At 48.5% G+C, this 17358-nt stretch overlaps 1 protein-coding gene across 1 annotated transcript in view, besides 8 other annotated features; it reads right to left on the bottom strand.

Annotated features, from left to right (window-relative positions):
• Positions 1-17358, bottom strand: part of MACF1 (microtubule actin crosslinking factor 1) — a 402972-nt gene that overhangs the window by 375231 nt on the left and 10383 nt on the right. The gene's annotated exons all lie outside the window — the stretch shown is intronic.
• Positions 5724-5783: an enhancer, noted in NCBI's record as "active region_804". NCBI's record gives its function as "activates an Ori minimal core promoter by ATAC-STARR-seq in GM12878 lymphoblastoid cells {active_cell/tissue: GM12878}" and the evidence as "EXISTENCE:reporter gene assay evidence [ECO:0000049][PMID:35858748]".
• Positions 6044-6183: a silencer, noted in NCBI's record as "silent region_695". NCBI's record gives its function as "represses an Ori minimal core promoter by ATAC-STARR-seq in GM12878 lymphoblastoid cells {active_cell/tissue: GM12878}" and the evidence as "EXISTENCE:reporter gene assay evidence [ECO:0000049][PMID:35858748]".
• Positions 6224-6753: a silencer, noted in NCBI's record as "silent region_694". NCBI's record gives its function as "represses an Ori minimal core promoter by ATAC-STARR-seq in GM12878 lymphoblastoid cells {active_cell/tissue: GM12878}" and the evidence as "EXISTENCE:reporter gene assay evidence [ECO:0000049][PMID:35858748]".
• Positions 6794-6883: a silencer, noted in NCBI's record as "silent region_693". NCBI's record gives its function as "represses an Ori minimal core promoter by ATAC-STARR-seq in GM12878 lymphoblastoid cells {active_cell/tissue: GM12878}" and the evidence as "EXISTENCE:reporter gene assay evidence [ECO:0000049][PMID:35858748]".
• Positions 8358-8913: an enhancer, noted in NCBI's record as "NANOG-H3K27ac hESC enhancer chr1:39568667-39569222 (GRCh37/hg19 assembly coordinates)". NCBI's record gives its function as "activates a minimal SCP1, AML or CMV promoter by ChIP-STARR-seq in naive H9 embryonic stem cells {active_cell/tissue: H9 hESC(naive)}" and the evidence as "EXISTENCE:reporter gene assay evidence [ECO:0000049][PMID:30033119]".
• Positions 9027-9136: an enhancer, noted in NCBI's record as "active region_803". NCBI's record gives its function as "activates an Ori minimal core promoter by ATAC-STARR-seq in GM12878 lymphoblastoid cells {active_cell/tissue: GM12878}" and the evidence as "EXISTENCE:reporter gene assay evidence [ECO:0000049][PMID:35858748]".
• Positions 9157-9206: an enhancer, noted in NCBI's record as "active region_802". NCBI's record gives its function as "activates an Ori minimal core promoter by ATAC-STARR-seq in GM12878 lymphoblastoid cells {active_cell/tissue: GM12878}" and the evidence as "EXISTENCE:reporter gene assay evidence [ECO:0000049][PMID:35858748]".
• Positions 13128-13217: an enhancer, noted in NCBI's record as "active region_801". NCBI's record gives its function as "activates an Ori minimal core promoter by ATAC-STARR-seq in GM12878 lymphoblastoid cells {active_cell/tissue: GM12878}" and the evidence as "EXISTENCE:reporter gene assay evidence [ECO:0000049][PMID:35858748]".

Here is a 17358-nt window from a genome sequence, read left to right as displayed (position 1 = left end):
CCTGAAAGAGACAAAGAATCAGAGATTAATTCTAATTTACTTCAGAAACTGAGAAGCTCTGGAAGAAAAAAATATTTCATCAGAAGTAACAAACTGTACTTTCAGAAGATACACACCTGAAATCCCAGCGTTTTGGGAGGCCAGGGCAAGAGGATGGCTTGAAGCTAGTTCGAGACTAGCCTAGAAAACATTGCAAGATCCCATCTCTATAAAAAAAATAAAATAATTGCCAGGTGCGGTGGCTCACGCCTGTAATCCCAGCACTTTGGGAGGCCGAGGCGGGCAGATCACGAGGTCAGAAGATCGAGACCATCCTGGCTAACACGGTGAAACCCCCTCTCTACTAAAAATACAAAAAATTAGCCGGGTGTGTGGTGGGCGCCTGTAGTCCCAGCTACTCGGGAGGCTGAGACAGGAGAATGGCATGAACCTGGGAGGCGGAGCTTGCAGTGAGCCGAGTTCGCACCACTGCACTCCAGCCTGGGTGACAGAGTGAGACTCCGTCTCCAAAAATAAATAAATAAATAAATAAATAAATAAAATAATTAGCTGGGCATGGTGGCATGCACCTTTAATCCTAGCTACTCCGGAGGCTGAGATGGGAGGATCATGTGAGCCCGGGGGTTTGAGGTTAGAGTGAGCTACACAATGGTATCAACTGCACTCTGACATGGGTGACCCTGTCTCCAAAAAACTGGAATAAACATTCTTAGCTACCACAAGCCATTTACCAGGCCAGAAAATTAGTAAATGCCACCAATAGAAGCCAGACGAGAGAGGCTTCAACTCCAATCAAAACCATGAGAGTAAAAACAGGAGCTCTAGCATTCCATACAACCTAGTCACAACATGGCTCAATATATAATTATCAGAAGCTGAAAGGGCCAACCTTACTTAGAAAAAGGAGTAAAGACTGGGTGTTTTCAAGAACACTGAGAAAACACAACAGACTCCTTACAATCTATAATTGTTCATTTGTGACTTTTGATCTTGGGATGTTTCTGTTCTCAGATATGCACTCTGAAGTATTCTTTCCACCATGATCTCTTAAACCTGGAATTGGCACTGAAAAATACCAGTATAATAGGCTTACGCTGGTGCATTTCCCTGGTTTGTATTACGTCATTTGCCAACAAGCCCAAGACAAGGCAGTAGCTCCCATAAGCACTGTTAGCACATGGACACATTTTATTATTTCAACAGCATGAATGTGGCCAAAACTTGTGATTTCCCAGCAGACTGACTTGACTCACTTTCTGAATTAACAGTGTTCATGTCCAGAAGTAGCACTTACTCTTTTGTTCTGGCTAAAAACTATCCACTCCAACTCTAGGACTTTGATCTAAAAAGGAACTTAAAAACTGAGTGTAGGCCAGGCACGGTGGCTCAAGCCTGTAATCTCAGCAGTTTGTGAGGCCAAGGCAGGATGATCACTTGAGGCCAGGGGGTTGAGACCAGCCTGGGCAACATAGTGAGACCTTTTCTCTTCAAAATACTTAAAAATTAGCCAGGCATGGTGGCACATGCCTGTTAGTCCCAGCTACTTGGGAGGCTGAGGTAGGAAGATCACTTGAGCCTGAGAGGTGAAGGCTGCAGTTAGCCCTGATCTCACCACACTGCACTCTAGCCTGGGCAACAAAGCAAGACCCTGTCTCAAAAAAAAAAAAAAAAAAAAAAGAACAACATCCACTAAAAAGGATAAATAAGCTGAATCTACATATAACCAAAAGGTTGCTTCAGAGCGTCACTTAGGTAAACAATCCCAAATCCTCAACCCATATTTTCCAATCACTGTGTTAACAAAATTTCATCATTTTGTACTATTTTAAAAATTATTTTTGTATTTATTTCTTGTATTTTTTGTATTTTATTTTATTTTGTATTATTTTTGTATGAAAATTTCAATGTGATTTATATATCGTAAAACTTCTCCCATAATAAGGGGAAAAGAAATTCTCCACAGTTCAGAGATCTGGAAATGTATGTCACTTAAAGTGTGTGACTATACTTCAGAAACTAAAACTAACAACAATAATGATACTAACAATTAAAGCATTTTCACAATTTCTCACTTAGCCCAAGTCATCTACTGTGATTTTAAAACTCCCTTCTGTGATACAATGTGAAACCTTCACCCAGAAATCTGGAGCCTGGCTCTTAGACAGTAATTTTAAGTCTCTGTGCCTAAATTTATTCATCTGTGTAATACTATCCTTCAGGATATTATAAAGCTTAAATAAGATATAAATCAACGTTTTTCTAAACATTAAAGGTTCCTTCTGGTAGGAGATAGAAAAAAAAAAAAGGAGAGAAAAGAGTTAAAAAATAAAATAGGCCAGGTGCAATGGCTCACGCCTGTAATCCCAGCACTTTGGGAGGCTGAGGCAGGCAGACCACAAGGTCAGGAGTTCAAGACCAGCCTGGCCAACATGGTGAAACCCCATCTCTACTAAAAAAAAATATAGAAAAAATTAGCCAGGCATGGTGGCGTGCACCTGTAATCCCAGCTATTCAGGAGGCTGAGGCAGGAGAATTGCTTGAACCTGGGAGGCAGAGGTTGCAGTGAGGTGAGATCGTGCCACTGCATCCCAGCCTGAGCAACAGAGCAAGATTCCACCTCAAAATAAAGTAAAGTAAAATAAAATGGAACATTAAAGGACAAATATATGCCCAGAGCTCATTTATATTCTCATGAATCCCAAGAAATTAGTATTATCATCCCTATTTTAACAGATGAGAAACCCAAAAGATGAGAGAAATCTTTTCCAAGGTCACACAGTAGAAATTAACTGGCAAAAACTAGGACTGGAGCCCACAACAGAAGAAATCCAAAGCATAGTCTTTCTACGATATCAATTTTGTACATTAAGTAATATGCAGACTCTTCACTTGTAACCCTCTGTGCAGTAAGTTTTATAAGTTATTTTCTGCACTAGGATAAATGAAAATTGGTCCTAACTAGCTTCGTATAACCCACAACACTTAGTGACAATTCTGAATTTCATAAGTACCAGATAGATGTTACCAATGTTGAAATGTGAATGTTCTCTTTTATTCCTAGCCCAGCCCAGCAAGTAAAGACTATTTAGTCCTTAAAGCTTTGTGAAAACAAAAGTCTAATTCTGTCTTAACCAACCACCATCAACCAAGTGTGCTGGTTTTTAACCACCTCTTTAAAACCTAAAACTATGCTCATATGTGACCTGCTTCTTCAGTAGAGTTGGTCTCTATCCTAGGAGAGGAATAAAATCCTGGTTCTCCTACCTCCCTGACTATTCCTTCTTAATTTCCTCCGGCGTGAACCGCGAGGCAGAGCTTGCAGTGAGTGGAGATCGTGCCACTGCACTCCAGCCTGGGCAGCAGAGTGAGACTCCGTCTCAAAAAAAAAAAAAAAAAAAAAACCCTCTCATGTCACCTCCTTTGTCAAATCTCCCAGGTAAATCCAAATAGGGTTTCAGCCTTCCTCTGGCTTCCATACTATCTCTGTTCTAGCACTTATCACAGTATGACAACTACTTGTTTGCAAGTATCTTTCCCTTACTAGATGGAATAACCAAGGGCAGGAACCAGATCTCATTCAGAATTCTGGCATCTAACATTGTGGCACCTCCAAGAGAGACTTTAATGACTGTCAGAGAATTGGGGAAATGAAGGATATACCCTGGTTCTCTTGGCTGCTGCCCACTCTGAACTGTTAGAATCCAGTGTTATTATCTAATGCCTCCTGTTTACTGGCCAGCTATCTGAAAGAACCTTTGGGACATTTAGGAAATAAGGGAGAGCATTTATTTCCATGCTGAATCATCTAATCCTGCCAAGACCATGCTCACTGCCACCACACAGAAAAAAAAAAAAAAATGGTTGCCAAGCACAGTTCTGGAAAACCCATACTTGACTACCATTCCTAATACAGCTGCACTACACACAGCTCTGCTTCCCTCACACTCCAAATACATTACTGCCCTTCTCCCATTGGCCCTAGGGGCAGTTTAGGCAGCTGAAAATTTTAGCTCTCCTTCTGCATATAAAAATCCTGCTTCAGCCTGTATAATGAGGTGACTACAAATTAATAGCAGCAGAGAGAGATCCAAGTAATGTGGTGACCAGCCAATAAGGGTCTAGAACACCCCACCATCATCAATATCTATTTTCCCATCTCTTTCCAAAACCAATACGTGGCATGATCCTCACAAACTCCTTCCCCTGGTCACTCTATAGATTCCAGCTCACTCCTCTGCTTAGACAAACTGTTCTCCTATTAAGGTAGTACGGGGATTTCTAAGTCTGGAAAATGCAGGAATTCCATAAGCAAAGTAACAAAGGCCCGGATGCTAAGCCACTCTGACCTCCCAGTGAGAACGGTGCAGTGGGGGGAAGAGAGATTGTTCTGCACCGATCAGAAGAGCAGACTGCACGACCACCGTATACAACTCGAGGTAATTTACTTTGGGCAACCATTTTTAACTCATTCCTCCCCTCAAGAAAGAGACCTGTGTCTGGGAAGGATTAAGTTCCTATACACCTGATCAAGGCCCTTCAGAGGAAAGCCAAACTGAGTGAGACAGCTAAAAAAAAAAAACTGAACAAAAGAGGTCTCTCCTGGAACAAGCCCTACTGCCCCCTTCTTTCCCAGCCTCATTTGCTAGGAGTCCAACTTCCTTTCCGCTGGAGGTCACCAGTACTACCATCCAGTGAGGTGCTGAGATTTCTTCACCTATTTTGGGTCTTAATTCTGCTGGTTTGAAGCTGTCACAGCCCGGGACGGTCCTAATGTATCTCCTCTCTCTGAAGAGAGCAGTGTTACTCAAAAGCCTGCAAAGGAAACTTAATGCAACCATTCACTGAGCAGCATTTTTTCAATGAAGTTCAGCAGCACAATCTAACCTCTTTGTGCTCTGAAATGAACCACATTTCTTAAAAAGAAAGACCACAGGGGGTTGACAGAAAACTTGCTGCAGGCAGGAAAAGCTGGACAGTTTACAGGAGCTGATGCAGAGGGAACAAGCAAAAACCCTAGTAGGTCTTTTTTCGCATTTCATCTCTACTTTTTTCCTGCTGCATTCCCAAGCAGAGTTCCAATGCCACAAGAAAAAAAAAGTGGGGGGGAGGGGGGAGAGGGGGGGCGTTTTACAGCTTCTTCATTAGTTTCCCTTCACTGGATAGGTGCTGTAAACAAGTACGCTGGACTCAGTCATAGGGGCTGAAGTTTCCTCTCCTTCAGATAAAAAGAAACTAAGGGCCTAGTCACAAGGGCCCGAGCTGAATAAAATGGGGAAAAGTGCTGCCTGTGTCGTTTCTGGGAAAATCTCCCCGTCTGTGGAAAGCATAACTGCCAGCCAAAGCAAACTCCCAGAACCGGATGTTAAAGATCAAGGCAAGGGCCTCCCAAGGCCACGCATCCCTGGCTTCCATTCAGGGGCACCTACAGCAGTTAGGGAAATGCAGTCCACAGGCCCTCTTGTCTGTCAAAACTTTCTCCCCATACACCCAAGGCGCAGATTAGGCATTAACTTGCAGAAGTGTCTCGCAAGAGAGCCTTCAGGGCTGAAATCCGAGCTCCAAGGCAAATCTTTATGTGGGAGGAAAAAAACAGACCCCTACCTCCAGCAGGCCCAGACCCCCGGGGAGATGGAGGGGGTAAGGTCTCGCCACCAAAAACTGCACACTCACCCACACCGCTGCCCACCCCACCCCGAAGACACCAAGGTGCTTTCCAACCTCGGCTTCCACGCGACTCATCCGAGACTCAAAGAGACAAAAGGGGGCGAGGGAGGGACTCTCCGCGGGCACACAGAGGTCCGAGCCCCTCTGGGAGGAAGCTCGCACCCAGAGCAGAGCGGGTGGTTTCTCCCGCGCCCAACTCCTCCTCCTCCTCCTCCCCAGCAACTCCCCACGGCGGCCGGTCTCCAGGCCAGCGCCTTGTCTCGCCTTCTTCCAGCTGGGGCCGGATAATAGGGCAAATCATGTAACTGGCGCTCTGAGCGCGCCGACTGCCCCGGGGGCGGTTTCCGAAGGCTTATCTCAACTCTGTAAATAAACTGGCCCCGAGAAGCAGCAGCTCAGGGCCAAGCCCCGCGCGGTGGGTGCGACCCCGCCCGGCCGCCCCACCTGCAGCCGCCGAGCCGACCGGCTCCGAAGGCCACGCTGCGCCGGCCCGCGGGCCTCAGCGCCGGCCAGTCCCCGGCCCTACCTTTGTACCGCTCCAGCACATCCTCGTACGCCTGCACGAACTCCTTCTCCTGGCTGCGGTTGGCCGGCTGCTGACCCGGCACGTAGCCGGCCATGGCCGCCCGCACCGCCTTCTCGCCGAGCCCCGGGGGCTGCCGGTTCCAGGCCCGCGCGCTGAGGCGGCGGCGGCCCCAGCCTCGACCCTTTGTGCGTCTCAGAGACGGCGACGGCGCCCTCGCTCTCCGCCGTCCGCCCGCCTCGCCCGGCCCGGCAGTCGCGCTCCGCTCCTCAGTCCGCTCGCACCCGGCCCGCTCGCGCTCCGCCGGTCCCGGCTCGCGTTTCCGCGTCCTCACCCCTCGGCTCCGCTCCTCCCTCAGCCCGCCCCGGCGCGGCTGCAGCGGCGGGCGGCGGCGGCGGCTCCTCCTGTCAGGAGCGCCAGGCCCGGCCCGTTCCCCGCCCCCTCTCCCCGCCGCCTCCGGGTCCCGGCGAGTCCTCGGCCCCAGGCTGCGGCCGGCTGGGCCCGGGCTGCCCACACGGGTCCCCCAGGGGCTGCCGACCCCCGCCCGGCCCGGACTGGGGCCCGAGCCGAGGGGCGCGAGAGGCCGGCCCACGCGGGAGTCCCGCTGGGTGGGAGGCCCCGCGCGTCAGGATGAAAGGCTGGGCCGGCCGAACGGCAGGGAGACCCGGGCCGGCTCCACAGGGCGAGCGGGAGCCCCAGTCAGCGCTGACCTACGCCGCCGGGAGCGGGACAAAGGAGGGTTTCTCCCTGGCTGGAGAGAAACCCAGCGGGGCCTGTGCGGCTGCTGGAGAAGGACCTGGAGAAACTGAAGGGAAAGCAGAGGGCAAAAGACCACGATGCCTCAGATCCCAGGGCTAGACGCGGTCAGAACGAGGACAAGGGCAAGATCCAGACAGGGCTGCAGTGTAGGGCCGGAGGACACTGAGCCCACAAAGAAGCCCGGGAACAAAGGGTTTTCCAGAAACAGAAGAAGCTGAACAAGAAGTGACGGGGCAGATCCAGCACCATGAAGTAAACCAGGCCAAGGAGCCAGAGCCTGAGAAATGACAACCCAGGGAGGCACGAAAACGGGATTCTGAATGCACCATGGGGTGAATAAGAGGAGAGACAGGGAGACATAAATCTGTAGGGGATAGACCCTCCAGAATTATTAAACTGTGACAGCCATCTGAACAGAGAGACAGAGATCAAAAGGGAGAAATGTGGGAACCTGAGACGGAACCAGGACTGTTAGGGAACAAAGAAAGGACTCTGGAGCATAGCTGGTCAGGGAAGAAAAGGGGAAGCCAATTATTCTTTGTCATCAGGGGAAAGGAAAGAGTAAAGAAAGGAAACTGGAAAATATGGGTAGGGATTTATTAGGGGCCATTTTGAGGACAGAGCTCCCAACATCATTTGATCCAACATTCGGTTGTGTATCATTCAATCCCAATATTCATGGAGTGCGCTGGAGCCATGAGCAGTGAATGAAGAACTCTGGTCAATGTAGGTGACACGTTGTGCCCGCCACCCCCCATTTAGCAGTTATCCTCCCCTGTTAGCTTGATTTTTCAGGAGGTCTGGAGAGGTGGTTGTGGGTAAGAAGTTACACTGGCTGATCTCACAATAAGGGCACATTAGCAAGTAAAAAAAGAATTCATGCAACACTGAGCAACCAAAATTGGGACTTGGGCTTCCATTCCAGTTCCCATTCTCAAGAGTTTGAAGGAGAAACTTCTTAACCCCAGGCTAGGGAAGGTGTCTTTGTACCTTGTGAGTAGTGCCAAGTATTTTGGTCAATGCTCAGCACATTGGTAACAAGTAAAACAAATGACGCTTTTCGCTAATAGGTGCATGCTGGTTGTTTCCACACCACACCCTGATCAGAAATCAGGTGAGCAAGTCATTAATCATATCTTTTCCCATCAAGTTTTGCTGGCCTGCCCAAGTTGTGGGCATGAAGATCATGCAGGGAAGGGCCTGAAAGAGGACAGGGAGGATCCTTAGACAAATGCTCATTTCCTTCCAGTTTAATCCTCCGTGCTAAAACAAACAAACAAACAAAACTAGTTCTCAGTTTGGTGTCAGCTGCTAATGAGCTCAGTTTACAAAAAGAAGGGGAATAAGTTTGAAGTATATGCATTTTTCAGTAAAAGGCTTTTAGCGGAAAATGCAGGATGAGTTGCTGATTGATGGCACAAGCACATTTTTCGTAAACAGCAGAGAATATAGAAATGCTAACTCTGGGGATCTTGACTGTGTCAGTGCTGAGTCATCTGCATTTCCCATATTATTTTATACCAGCAGGCCTAAGAAGGCCCAGACAGAAATCACGCATACAAACACCTCCACACAGACATCTCACCCCCACACAGACATCTGCCTCCTTATGTCCATTACACTACATAGAAAAGTCCCTCCATTCCCACCTGGGGCTGCTACACGCGCCACTTTGTGAGCAGGTTCCTCAAGATGTGTGACTGATGCTTGCCAAAGGTGAAGAAAGAACAGGGGCAAAAAGGGGAAGAGTCCGCTGTGAGAATCAGAGAAGACCTGGGGGCGTTGCAGGGAGAAGGCAAGGGGTTGAGATTCCTTTTAAGAAACACACAAATCAAAGAAGAAACTTCTGCTTTAGGTTGTGGCTAGAGAGCTTCTCTAAGACTCAAATTGCTTTCTTGACAAAATTTGCATTTAAATGCTCCCAGGAGATTTTGAAATAATGCATTCTTCTAATGAATGGAAAGTGGGGAAGTCCACATGTTTGGCTGATGTTCCTGTTTTATACAGAGAAAATTTTACAAGGCTAGAGGAACAAAGCGGCTGCCAGGGGGGATGGGAAGAAGGAAGTCTATGAAGGGGAGGTTTTTCGCTTCTTTCAAGCAACAGTCTAAATTTATAGCCAGACCACACAGTCGCAAAAGCTCTGAGGCTTTCTCCTTTTGGTCTTTGATTTTCTTTTGCTCCTGATGGGTGAGACTGCTGCTGCATTTCTAAGAAGGCTGCAATGGGGGAAGCAGAAGGATGTACTCGGAAGGGCATCTAGTGGAAGAGAAGAGTAATACAAGGAAATTAATGCCCTTTATCCTTGGTGTCCTCCCAATTAAAGCCTCATCAAATACCCCTATCCCTAAAGCCCTGCCACTTTCTATTTCTTTCAGCGCCTCTAATGTGTTATCTCGCCTCAGGGCCATCCAACCGACTTTCCTCCCAGATTATAACCCTTCATCACTCTCCTTTGGCCTGGCTCACTCCTACCCATGCTTCTGCTGAAACTCCCCAGGGGAAAGCCTTCCTTGACCCCCCCCCCGCCTCCAATTAATAGGTCCTCCTCTACCCTTTGGTAATACTCATCACACTTGAAGTTATGGTACAGTGTCTCTCATCCTTACTAAATCGTAAGCTCCCTGAGGGCTGAGACTGTTTGTCGTCTAATTCACCACAGGATCCTTAGCACCTAGCAACTGATCTGGCACATATAGGGCACTCATTAACTATTTCGTCTTTCTTTTCTTTTCTTTCTCTCTCTCTTTCTCTCTCTCTCTCTCTCTTTCTTTTTCTTCTTTTTTTTTGACGGAGTCTCGCTGTCGCCCAGGCTGGAGTGCAGTGGCGCGATCTCGGCTTACTGCAGGCTCCGCCCCCCGGGGTTCACGCCATTCTCCTGCCTCAGCCTCCCGAGTAGCTGGGACTACAGGCGCCCGCCACCTCGCCCGGCTAATTTTTTGTATTTTTAGTAGAGACGGGGTTTCACTGTGTTAGCCAGGATGGTCTCGATCTCCTGACCTCGTGATCCGCCCGCATCGGCCTTCCAAAGTGCTGGGATTACAGGCGCGAGCCACCGCGCCCAGCCTCTTTCTTTCTCTCTCTCTTTTCTTTCTTTCCCTCCCTCCCTCCCTTTCTTTCTTTCCTTTCTTTTTTGAGATGGAGTCTCGCTCTGTCACCACCCAGGCTGGAGTGCAGTGGCGTGATCTCGGCTCACTGCAACCTCCACCTCCCGGGTTCACGCCATTCTCCTGCCTCAGCCTCCCGAGTAGGTGGGACTACAGGCGCCCGCCACCATGCCCAGCTAATTTTTTTTATTTTTAGTAGAGAAAGGGTTTCACTGTGTTAGCCAGGATGGTCTCCATCTCCTGACCTCGTGAACCACCCACCTTGGCCTCCCAAAGTGCTGGGATTACAGGAGTGAGCCACCGCACCCAGCCAACTATTTCTTTAATGCTATGCATAGTGGCTCACACCTGTAATCCCAACACTTTGGGAGGCCGAGGCCAGAGGATTGCTTGAGCCCAGGAGTTCACGACCAGCCTGGGCAACATGGCAAAATTCGGTCTCTAAAAATATACATATACACACACATATATATATATATACATATTTTTTTTTTTTTTGAGACAGAGTCTGGCTCTGTCACCCAGGCTGGAGTGCAATGGTGTGATCTCGGCTCACTGCAACCTCCACCTCCTGGGTTCAAGTGATTCTCCTGCCTCAGCCTCTCAAGTAGCTGGGATTACAGGCGCCTGCCACCATGCCCAGCTAATTTTTGTATTTTTAGTAGAGATGGGGTTTCACCTTGTTGGCCAGGCTAGTCTTGAAGTCCTGACCTCAGGTAATCCATCCACCTCGGCTTCCCAAAGTGCTGGGATTACAGGCGTGAGCCACCGCACCTGGCCAACTATTTCTTTAATGCTATGCATGGTGGCTCACACCTGTAATTCCAACAATTTGGGAGGCCGAGGCAGGAGGATCGCTTGAGCCCAGGAGTTCAAGACCAGCCTGGGTAACATGGCAAAATTTGGTCTCTAAAAATATACATACACACACACACACACGCGCGCGTGCATTTGTATATTTGTTTACTTTATTTAATTTAATTTAATTTATTTATTTATTTGCAACGGAGTCTCACTCTGTCACCCAGGCTAGAGTGCAATGGCGCAGTCTGGGCTCACTGCAACCTCCACCTCCTGAGTTCAAGCCATTCTCCTGCCTCAGCCTCTCGAGTAGCTGGGATTACAGGCGCCTGCCACCACCCCCGGCTAATTTTTGTATTTTTCGTAGAGATGGGGTTTCACCTTGTTGGCCAGGCTAGTCTCAAACTCCTGACCTCAGGTAATCTGCCCACCTCAGCCTCCCAAAGTTCTGGGATTACAGGCATGAGCCACCGCACCCGGCCTAAATTTTTGATTAAATGCATGAATGAGTGAACCAGATGATCCTAAAATACTTGGCTGTCTGTGACTACTGACTAGCTGGAAGGCTAGAGTATTTAAGGAGAGAGTATGTTTGTCTCACAGCATCCCTTATCTAAGCCTGGAATTCCAAGTCTTCCATATTTAGACATCTAGCTTCCTTTTCAGGCTGATCTCCAATGACACCCTTGTGTGTACCTCCTTTCCCTATAATCAGACTCTGAGGCTTTGCCTAGAATGTCCCATCCCCCAACTCCACCTACTGAAATCTACCTTGAAAGTTCACCCCAAATGACGTGAAATTTTTTTTCTATTTATTTATTTAGAGGCAGCGTCTTACTCTATCACCCAGGCTGGAGTGCGGTGGCACAATCTTGGCTCACTGACACCTCTGCCTCTTAGGCTCAAGCAATCCTCCTGCCTCAGTGCGCCCACCAATTAACCCACCAGCAGCTAGGACTACAGGCAGGTGCCACCACGCCCAGATAATTTTTGTGCTATTTGTAGAGACAGGATTTCACCATACTGTCCAGGCTGGTCTCGAACTCTTGGGCTCAAGTAGTCGGCCTGCCTCAGCCTCCCAAAGTGCTGAGATTACAGGTGTGAACCTCCGTGCCCAGCTTTTTAAAAAAATTTTTTATAGAGACAGGGTCTCACTATGTTGGTCTTGAACTCCAGGTACATGTACTGTGGATGTCTGTATCACTGCCTCCTTAACCTCCTACTTCATAGGTTCCTGAGGGCAAAGACATCTATTTCATCTTTCTTCATCACTGGGCCTAACACAATACTTTGCACATAGTAGATGTTCAATAAATATTTGCTGAAGGAATGGATGCCTCATTGAACTGTTATGGGGGTTGGGGGAGGGAGCCAGATCTGATTCAAGACAATTGAGAATCCAACTCAATGTCCACTCAGTGGTCAAGGGCTGAGGGCACTTCATGTGTAGGGAGGAAAGAGGGAAGTACAAAATTATTTCTCTTTCTGCTAGTGCTCCTTCCTCAACCTCTAGAAAGTTTATTCCCAGCTTTTCTTCACCTTTGGTTCATGCTGCATTATTTTATGTGTTAACTGATGCTTTATAAAGAAATTCTTAGGCCAGGTGCGGTGGCTCATGCCTGTAATCCCAGCACTTTGGGAGGCCAGGGCGGGCAGATCACCTGAGGTCAGGAGTTCGAGGCCAGCCTGACCAATATGGTGAAACCGCGTCTCTACTAAAAATACAAAAAATTAGCCGGGCGTGATGGTGGTCACCTGTAATCCCAGCTACTTGGGAGGCTGAGGCAGGAGAATCGCTTGAACCCAGGAGGCAGAGGTTGCAGTGAGCCTAGATCGTGCCATTGCATTCCAACCTGGGCAACAAGAGCAAAACTCCATCTCAAAAAAAAGAAATTCTTTGCTAGTAGTGAGTGTGTGTGTGTGCACACATGCACATATTCTCTCCATTCCTCCTTGCAAGGGTAGCTGTCTGCTGTAACTTTTATATTCCCCAATAGTAGCTGATGCCAGGCACTGAAGGGGCAGCCCCAAGCATTATCCTTTGACCAGCTCTTGGAAGAAAATTACCTAGTTCTAGTCTCAGAAGTGAAGCTCCACCAGCCTCTTGGGCACCAGCCAAAGCTCCCTTTCTGCCCAGCTCCTAGAAACCTTTTCTAAGCTTTGCCTCAAGTTCCCAAATCCGCTCTGGGGTAAGAAGCCTTTGCCTGCTCTCATGCTGCCCTCTTCTGTTCAGAAAGTGCAACATCTCAATTTAAGAGGCCTGGAGGGTGCCAGCCACCCAGGAAGACAAGATCCCTGCCACCAGCAGCCCATCACCATAGCAACCCTCAAAATGGTTACTCAGCCATCTGGGTTACCATAGCAACTGGCCAAGTCGCTCCACCTCAGCCTCTCCCTAGGCCTCTCCCGTGGCTCGTCAGAGCCAACTCCAAATAATCTCCAGTGCTTCCTGGAAGAAATGAGCAGAGGCTGGACCCCTGACAGGCAGCTATCCCAAAGGGGCGTGGAAGGCCTCACCGCACCGGCTTCCCAAGGCACAGTAGAGATAATGGATGTTAAGGCACTCCGTGAACCTTGAAGTGCTACACAGATGTTAGCTGTTATTAAACTACTGTTCCTTGTAATGGGGGAGGCAGTGGGTTGCCCTAGGCAGAGCTAGCACCATTCCAAGCTTGGCCCCTTACTGGCTGGGAGACCTTGAGCAAGTTACCAAACTCTCTGGGCTTCTGCTTCCTCTGCTGTAGCACATCTGCCTCCTAAAGTTGTTTTGAGGATTAGGTCAAATACAGCATGTAAGATGCTGAGCGCCAAGGCTGGCATTCAGAACCTAACAATAGTAGTTATAAAAGGTATTGGCCCCTCTGCTGTCTCCCAGCTTCTTTGTCAGTAAAACTGTTTTTATCTTCACTCTTGAAGGAATCAGGCTAATGTGAGCCCTGCTGAACCATACCCAATCTCTCTTCCTGCTCTGAGGCAGGACAGGGTCTTACCCTGTGTGGATCCTCTGAGGCAGTCTATACTCTTTGGGGAATTGGGAGGTTCCCCAAACTGTGAGGTGTGGCTTTTTTTAATCTATGAAACTTCTCTTCACTTGAAGCCACAGCTCCCCATCCAACACCATCTCAAGGTAGAAACCTCTAAAGGGGCACTAACAGGCAGCCTGGAAAGAGCACAAATCACTGAGGCCGGGAGAGGCCCTTGAGAGTGGTGGCCAATGCTCTCAGTTGAGATCAGAGTCACGTGAAGCAGTTCACCAGCATCAGGGCAGTCCTGGGGCACAGGCCCCTATAACAAAAATGGAACTCATTCCCTTGATGAATTTCTTTTTTTTTGAGACAGGGTTTCACTTTGTCACCCAGGCTACAGTACAGTGGCATGAACATGGCTCACTGCTGCCTCAACCTCCCAGGCTCAAGTGATCCTCTAGCCTCAGTCCCCCAGATAGCTTGTACTACAGGTGTACACCACCATGCCCAGCTAATTTTTGTATTTTTTGTAGAGATGGGGTTTCGCCATGTAACCCAGGCCGATGTTGAACCCCTGAGCTCAAGTGATCCACCCACCTTGGCCTCCTAAAGTTCTGGGGTTAGAGACATGAGCCACTGTGCTATCCTCCCGCCATGATGTTAAGGACCTGAATCCTATTGCAACTCGACTTCAGTCTGTCAAGATTGAATCCTTGAAATTCATTTTTTGGATATTTAGTTTAATTATACTGGCAGAACAGAACCAGATATGCTCTAGCCTAGCTCTGTGTGTTCTGGGGATAGAGCCTGAACCTCAAGCTGGAAGGACCAGAGGATCAGCCAAGCAACGCTAGGAGGGACACACTGCCCCTGGAGCCTGAACATCTGGGTGTTAGAATCCCTCATGAAGAGGCCAGGCGCGGTGGCTCACACCTGTAATCCCAGCACTTTGGGAAGCTGAGGCGGGTGGATCACCTGAGGTCAGGAGTTCAAGACCAGCCTGGCCAACATGGTGAAACTCCGTCTCTACTAAAAATACAAAAATTAGCCGGGCGTGGTGGTGGGCACCTGTAATCCCAGCTACTCAGGAGGCCAAGGCAGGAGAATTACTTGAACCTGGGAGGCAGAGGTTGCAGTGAGCCGAGATCACACCACTGCACTCCAGCGTGGGTGACAGAGCAAGAGTCCGTCTCAAAAAAAAAAAAAAAAAAAGGAATCCCTCATGAAGACTCTGGGCAGTAGGTCAGGTGGCAGTGGTTCCAGTCCTCAGACATGGACTCTGAAGCAGATAAACTGGTATATTTACTACTAGAGGAAAGGTAGTATAATATAATGGTTAAAAAGTGAGGGAAGTAAAGGAGTTTGAAGTTGCAGTGAGCTACAATTGTGCCACTGCACTGCAGCCTGGGCAACAGAGCAAAACTCTGTCTCAAAAACAAAAACGGAGGAAGGTAGAAGTATGTGATTACGGGAACTTTCTGATTTTTTTTTTTTTTTTTGAGATAGAGTCTTGCTCTGTCACCAAGGCTGGAGTGCAGTGGCGCAGTCTCGACTCACTACGACCTCTGCCTCCCGGTTCAAGTGATTCTCCTGCCTCAGCCCTCCGAGTAGCTAGGATTACAGGCATGAGCCACTGCACCCAGCTACCGGAACTTTCTTATACATAACTGGGGAGGGAGAAGTGGGGTTGCAATATATGGGTTTTTTCGTTCACAGTTCCTGGCTCATAACTTCTATAGCCCTTGTCATAGTTTTCTGCTATAATGTTGAGGCACTGTAGACCTCAGAAGCAAGTCAAGTCTTAGAAAACAGAATCTTTCTGCCCTCCTGCCCTCCTTTCACCTGTTTCTTTTTCCTCCCAAAGCAAGACTCAATCTTTCCTGCAATTTTTTTTTTTTTTTTTTGAGACAGGGTCTCACTGTGTCACCCAGGCTGGATGATGATGATCACAGCTGCAGTGGTGCGATCATGGGTCACTGCAGCCTCCATCTCCCTGGCTCAAATGATCCTCCCACCTCAGCCTCCTGAGTGGTTGGGTCCACAGGTATGTGCCACTACGCCTGGATTATTTTTTGATTTTCTCTAGAGACAAGGTCTCACTATGTTGCCCAGGCAGGTCTTGATATCCCAGACTCAAGTGATTCTCCTGCCTTGGCCTCCCAAAGTGTTGGGATTACAGGCATGAGCCATTGCACCCAGCCATTTTTTTTTTTGAGACAGCCATCTCACTCTGTTGCCTACGCTGGAGTGTAGTAGTACAATCATAGCTCACTGCAGCCATGACCTCCTGGGCTCAAGGGATCCTCCTTTCTCAGCCCCCAAGTAGCTAGGACTACAGGCATGCACCACCACACCTAATTTTTTTTTTTGTGGAGATGGTGGTCTCACTATGTTGCTCAGGCTGGTCTTGAACTTCTGGTGTCAAGTGATCCACCTTCCTCGGCCTCCCAAAGTGCTGGGATTATATGTGTGAGCCACCACTCTCAGCCTTCCCCAACATTTCTTTTTTTTTTTTTTTTTTTTTTTGAGACAGAGTCTCACTCTGTCACCAGGCTGGAGTGCAGTGGCGCGATCTCAGCTCACTGCAACCTCCTCCTCCTGGGTTCAAATGATTCTCCTGCCTCAGCCTACTGAGTAGCTGGGACTACAGGCGCGCACCACCATGCCTAGCTAATTTTTTTGTATTTTTAATAGAGACAGGGTTTCACCATGTTGGCCAGGATGGTCTCGATCTGTTGACCTCATGATCCGCCCGCCTCGGCCTCCCAAAGTGCTGGGATTACAGGCGTGAGCCACCGCACCCAGCCGCCTTCCCCCACATTTCTGACTATAATCATGAGACCCCTATTTCAGGAGTCTTGCCCCATACCCTGGGGGAAGGAATACTACATAGAAAATTCAAGCAGAATCTGAACAGCCAGGCTTTGCTGGGTTTCCACACTGTTAGTGTTAGACATACCCTTTTTGCCCAATCACATTTCTGCATGGTTGTCAATCATGCCTACCCAAGGAAGTCTCCATGAAAGGCCTAAGATTCAGGGAGCTTCCAGGATAACAACTCGTGAAGATTCCTGAAGGGTGGCATACAAGGGAGGGCATGGAAGCACCACATTCCTTCTTCCATACCTCGCCCTTGCCCTCTGCATCTCTTCACCTGTATCCTCTGTGTGTTTTGTGGTTTTTGTTTTGTTTGTTTTGAGATCCGGTCTCACTCTGTAGCCCAGGGTAGAGTGCAGTACACAATCTCAGCTCCCTGCAGCCTTGACCTCCCGGGCTCAAGCAATCCTCCCACCTCAGCATCCTGAGTAGCTGGTATTACAGGCGCATACCACCACGCCTGGCTAATTTCTTTTTTTCTTTTTTTTTTTTGAGACAGAGTTTCGCTCTGGTTGCCCAGACTGGAGTGCAATGGCGCGATCTCAGCTCACCGCAACTTCCGCCTCCCAGGTTCAAGCAATTCTCCTGCCTCAGCCTCCCGAGTAGCTGGGATTACAGGCATGCACCACCACGCCCGGCTAATTTTGTATTTTTAGTAGAG

This window comes from Homo sapiens, chromosome 1 (genome assembly GCF_000001405.40).
Source record: "Homo sapiens chromosome 1, GRCh38.p14 Primary Assembly".
NCBI lineage: Eukaryota > Metazoa > Chordata > Mammalia > Primates > Hominidae > Homo > Homo sapiens.
This window is presented reverse-complemented; position numbering and strand designations above follow the sequence as displayed.